This window comes from Homo sapiens, chromosome 6 (genome assembly GCF_000001405.40).
Source record: "Homo sapiens chromosome 6, GRCh38.p14 Primary Assembly".
Lineage (NCBI taxonomy): Eukaryota > Metazoa > Chordata > Mammalia > Primates > Hominidae > Homo > Homo sapiens.
In genome coordinates this window covers 149,560,290-149,566,101 of record NC_000006.12, presented here as the reverse complement: position 1 = coordinate 149,566,101, position 5,812 = coordinate 149,560,290, and the positions used below count along the sequence as shown (strand labels likewise).

Below are 5,812 nucleotides of genomic sequence, written 5' to 3'. Positions count from 1 at the left end.
GTCCTCGTAACCATTATTTTTAAAATTAGTATTTACACACATGCATGTGTCTGTGTGTGCACATGTACATGTACCTATACGATGAAAACAACGGTAATATTTCAGAAAACTGTTATACATTAAAAATGAAACATCGCATTTACAGGGGAAGTTTTTATTAAGTGGGTAATTCCCCACCCTTGGCTGCACGTGGGACTCTCCCGGGCAGCTTTAAAAAGTACTGGGGTCTTCCTGAACACCCCACTTTCCAGCCTGGGCTGCGGCTCGGGCCCTGGTGGTTTTTTAATTTTCTCGGGTGATTCATTGTGGGGCCAAGGTTGAGGATGCGCCATGCTTACTGTTCAGCATTCTGCCGACCCCTGGAGGCGGCGCGGGGACAGCGCTCAGCTGGAAGGAAGCCAGCGCACCTGGGCTGTCAGTGCCTTTTTGGTCAGTATCGTAACTCTAAAGTGAAAGTGTTAGACTTTTCTTCCACCTTGCAGATTTAAAAAAAAAAAAAAGTTACGGAACCCTGTAAAGCAGAGTAGCAAGAAATTCAAGCATTTTAGATTAACAGGATTGCATGTTGATTGAGAAAAACTTGGAAACTTGGCCATTCAGGCAGAATAAGAGTAATATTTAGTCTTCCTTTGAAATAAAACTTTTGACATGAAATAAAACTTTTGACATGAAAAAGGAAACAAGAATCTATTTCTCTCTTTGAGCCCCCTTTACTCCTTTGAACACCCTCCTCCCACAGGCCTGCTGACCGCCACCGCCCCCTCCCCCGGCCCCGCCCCAGAATAAATTATAAACGTTTTGGCTAAAGACTCCTTTCAACTAACTCCGGGCTTACTCTGAGATTCCCCACGCCATTGTTAAGCTACAAGTGATTTCACAGCGAAGCCCCACACACTTCTGGGTTCCATCTGCAAACTTGGCCTTTTCCTTTTTTTCCTACTGCTGGAATTAAAAATGAATTTGGAGATGGGCGTGGTCATTTGTGCCTGTACTCCCAGCTATGCAGCAAACGCAGGCAGGAGGATCGCCTGAGTCTATTAAAAAAAAAAAAAAAAAAAGGAATCTAGAAGCCGGGTGCAGTGGCTCACGCCTGTAATCCCAACACTTTAGGAGGCCGAGGCGGGTGGATCACTTGAGGTCAGGAGTTCGAGAATAGCCTGGCCAACATGGTGAAACCCCATCTCTACTAAAAATACAAAAATTATCCAGGCATACTGGCACGCACCTGTAATTCCAGCTACTAGGGAGGCTGAGGCAGGAGAATCGCTTGAACCCAGGAGGCGAAGGTTGCAGTGAGCCAAGATCGCGCCATTGCACTCCAGCCTGCGCGGTGGAGCGAGACTCCGTCTCCAAAAAAAAAAAAAAGAATCTGGAAGTCAGAAAACATGACATGTGGATCTGTATAATTTGAATTAGTAATATAAGGTTACAAAGTACGTCTATATGAAAAGATAATAGGTAAAGTTGAGGCTCTCTGTTTTCTTACAAAGCCTTTCCCATGGTCTAACTGTCCATTATTCTTTATTGTTTATCTGTCTCGTCAGATAGATGTGAGCTCCAGGAAGAGGGTGGCCAAACCTTAAAGCAAACAGCTTGCTAGAGTAAGCCCTCAGTGGGGGTTTGTTGGACAAATAATGTCTAAGTGGTTGACAGTATTATTTAATAATCAAAAATTTTACTGTTTTGTATGAAATGGTTCTCTTTAGGCCATTGTTTTGCTACATGCACCCATGAGCGCTACGGAATTTCATTTAAAAAACCCCATCATTTGGGGAAAAAGCACCATACCACAACTCTAATGAGTTACAACAAAACTTTAAACAAGCTTTGTGGCTGAGTTCCACTTGTCCATTGGAAAACTCAGCTTGGTTTACTGAGCCTTCACATTAATCTGAGAAACAAAAGACAGAATTAACTTGGCAGTTGCTTACACGACAAATAAATCTGTCAATGTTAATACGGTGAGTACTTTGATGTTCCTTTGAGTCAGCTCATGTCAACTTGATATCCTCTATCATAAAAAGAGTTCAAGTTGCCTGACAGCAACCCACTGCGGTTCTGTGCACATTAGATGCTTTCTCTTCTTTGAAGGTAATCTTTCATATAGGAGAAGATATTCTAAAATATTTCTAATACTACAGAAAACAAAGTATATATTAAAATGTCTTTATTCTTTCACCAGATAATACCTTTTGATTCCAAACCTTGATATATTTCCTTTTTCAGTAGCCGATTTCATTGTCATTTTCATCATTCCCACAATCAAAATTTGAGTCCATCTTTTTCTGCAATTTAAAGCAGGCTTGATGCCAAAAGGAAATCTGGGACCTGATTTGTATCTGTTTCCAGTTTCTGGGAGTGAGTGAGTCACTGCACTTCTATTACAACACAGTCTACTCCAGTATTTTCCAGAGTTAGTCATCTACATATTTTTGAACTTTTTGAAAGACCCCTAGAAGATGACAAGAGGGAGAGCAAGAAACAAAGATATTATATTTTATTTTTTTGAGACAGGGTCTTGCTTTGACACCCAGGCTGGAGTGCCATGGCAAGATAGATCATGGCTCACTGCAGCCTTGACCTCCTGAGCTGAAGCCATCTTCCTACCTCAGACTCCTGAGTAGCTGGGACTGTAGGCACATGCCCCCATGCCCTGCTAATTTTTTTTTTTAAGTGAAGACGAGGGCTTGCTAGCTTGCCCAGGTTGGTCTTGAATTCCTGAGCTGAAGCAATCCTCCTGCCTCGGCCTTCCAAAATGTTGGGATTACAGGCATGAGCCACTTTTTTTTTTTTTTTTTTTTTTTGAGACAAGAGTTTCATTCTTGTCACCAAGGCTAGGGTGCAATGGCACAATCTCAGCTCACGCAACCTCCTCCTCCCAGGTTCAAGCGATTCTCCTGCCTCAACCTCCCAAGTAGCTGGGATAACAGGTGCCCACCACCACGCCCAGCTAATTTTTGTATTTTTAATAGAGACGGAGTTTCACCACGTTGGCCAGGCTGGTCTCAAACTCCTGAACTCAGGTGATCCACCTGCCTCGGCCTCCCAAAGTGCTGGGATTACAGTCATGAGCCACTGTGCCTGGCCTAAAATATTTTAAAACTGCTTTTGCTGTAACTTTCTTGTCCATATATTTATGAATGAATTTAATTAGCTCATAATGATGGGTGATGCCTCTCATATGAAGAACAACTCATAGAAATATTATCATTGTAGTAGCCAGCATTTATTATGCTAATTGTGTTAAGTGCTTTATGTATATTATTTAAACCTTATAACAGCCTAATGACATGATTACAATTTATTATCCCATTTTTATATACAAAACAGAAATTTATAGAAATTAAGTGTTTTTCTCTGAGTTACAGAACAGTAAATGATGAAGCTGTGGTTTTAAACTCTGGCATTCTAAGCCAACACAGTATAATGAAACAAAAGGCATTTAGTTAATTTATATACATTTATAGAGATGATTATAAATTATTCTACTCATTAGCTTTCTAAAAATATGAGCTGGGTTGCACTTTGGGAGGTGGAGGCAGGCGGATCACCTGAGGTCGGGAGTTCGAGGCCAGCCGGGAGTTCAAGAAACCCCGTCTCTATTAACAACACAAAAATTAGCTGGGCGTGGTGGCGCATGCCTGTAATCCCAGGTACTCAGGAGGCTGGGGCGGGAGAATTGCTTGAACCCGGGAGGCAGAGGTTGCGGTGAGCCGAGATCGCGCCATTGCACTCCAGCCTGGGCAACAAGAGTGAAACTTCGTCTTAAAAAAAAAAAAAAAAAATATATATATATATATATATATATATATATATATATATATATATATATATATATAAGCTGTGTTGGGAGAAATGGAGAAACAGTAAAGTGTAAGAGAGCTATGCCTTCTCCACCATCACAGGAGCTAGAGGGGCTCCAGGGCCAAGATGCAGACCCTGCTCTCTGCTCCCTCAGCTAACTAGTTTCAACAACCTGAAAATCTGCAGAGACGTTTGTACTCAAGGATGCTAAAAATCATACTATAATTTAATATTTGGTACCCTAATAAAAATCCTGAAGATAAAAGATTAAAGGGCCGGGCGCGGTGGCTCACCCCTGTAATCCCAGAACTTTGGGAGGCTGAGGCAGGCGGATCACGAGGTCAGGAGGTCGAGACCATGCTGGCTAACACGGTGAAACCCTGTCTTTACTAAAAATACAAAAAATTAGCCGGGCGTGGTGGCAGGCGCCTGTAGTCCCAGCTACTCGGGAGGCTGAGGCAGGAGAATGGCATGAACTCGGGAGGCAGAGCTTGCAGTGAGCCGAGATCTAGCCACTGTACTCCAGCCTGGGCGACACAGCGAGACTCCGCCTTGAAAAAAAAAAAAAAAAGATTAAAATAAGTATCCTAAGGAATAAGAAATCTTATCAGGTTTCAGGTTTTAAAAAATAGAACATCTGTAACAGATACTGCAAGAAGAGTTTGTTTAGAGATCATTTCATATTCAGTAACCCAGATAAGTAGGTTATATTTGTGGTAAGATGCCATTTTCATTTGTCTTATTTGACTTTTTTTTTTTTTTCTGAGATGGAGTCTTGCTCTGTCACCCAGGCTGGAGTGCAGTGGCACGATCTCAGCGCACTGCAACCTCCAACTCCCGGGTTCAAGCAATTCTCCTGCCTCAGCCTCCCGACTAGCTGGGATTACAGGTGCCTGCCACCACACCTGGCTAATTTTTGTATTTTTAGTAGAGACGGGGTTTCACCATGTTGGCCAGGCTGGTCTTGAACTCCTGACCATGTCATGATCCACCTGCCTCAGCCTCCCAAAGTGCTGGGATTACAGGTGTGAGCCACCGTGCCCAGCCTTATTTGACTTTTTAAATCACCTTTAGAAATGAAAGAAGCCTCCACTTGGAAGCAGAAGCAGAGTGTAGGGTGTCTTTCCTCTGCCTTCAGTGGATTTCCCTCTTGGGAGTGGATTTTCTTCTTTTAAGTCAGGATTCACTTTATTTAATTCACTAGAATATAAAAGCCTCACTTTATCATTGTTTACCTCAGTTGGTGCTAAAATGACAGGCAACTTCATAGCCATATGTATTAACTGTATTTGCCTATTTTCTGTATTCTTGATGTTACGGCACCTGGGGCCTTGCTGGCCCTGGAGACACTGCTGCTCCGAGGGTTAGCTAATTCCTAGAAATCGCAAACTACTTCCCTGGGCACCTCTGGGAGTTTACATCTCATATACAACACAGCCAATCCAGAGCTCATGCCCTGGTGGGCACCTCTGGGAGTGCACCTCTCATATACAACCCAACCAATCTATTTGTGTTTTTATTTATTTATGTTTGTACAGATTTATGGGGTATATGTGAAACTTTGTTATATGTATGTAGTGTATAGTGATCAATTCAGGGTATGTAGGGTACGTATCACCTGAGTATAGTACATTTTTGTTTGACTAACATCACCCAACTCTTCTATCAAACATTGAATTTATTTCTTCTATCTAACTGTATGTTTATACCCTTTAACCCACTTGACTTCATCCTTCCCTTTCCCCCTCACTCACCTTACCCAGTTTTTGTCATCTACCTTTCCATTGTCTACCTCCATGTGGTCCAATTGTTTAGCTCCCACATGTAAATGAGAACATGCAATATTTTTTCTTTCTGTGCCTGGCATATTTTACTTAAGATAATGACCTCCAGTTCCATCCATGTTGCTATAAATGACATTATTTCATTCTTTTTAATAACCAAATAGTATTCAATTGTGTATATATATCTTTTTTTTATCTGTTCATCTGTTGATGGACACTGAGGT

The 5,812-nt window shown here is 41.9% G+C and overlaps 2 annotated features.

Moving 5' to 3' along the window:
- Positions 431–560: an enhancer, noted in NCBI's record as "active region_25263". NCBI's record gives its function as "activates an Ori minimal core promoter by ATAC-STARR-seq in GM12878 lymphoblastoid cells {active_cell/tissue: GM12878}" and the evidence as "EXISTENCE:reporter gene assay evidence [ECO:0000049][PMID:35858748]".
- Positions 5,187–5,236: a silencer, noted in NCBI's record as "silent region_17662". NCBI's record gives its function as "represses an Ori minimal core promoter by ATAC-STARR-seq in GM12878 lymphoblastoid cells {active_cell/tissue: GM12878}" and the evidence as "EXISTENCE:reporter gene assay evidence [ECO:0000049][PMID:35858748]".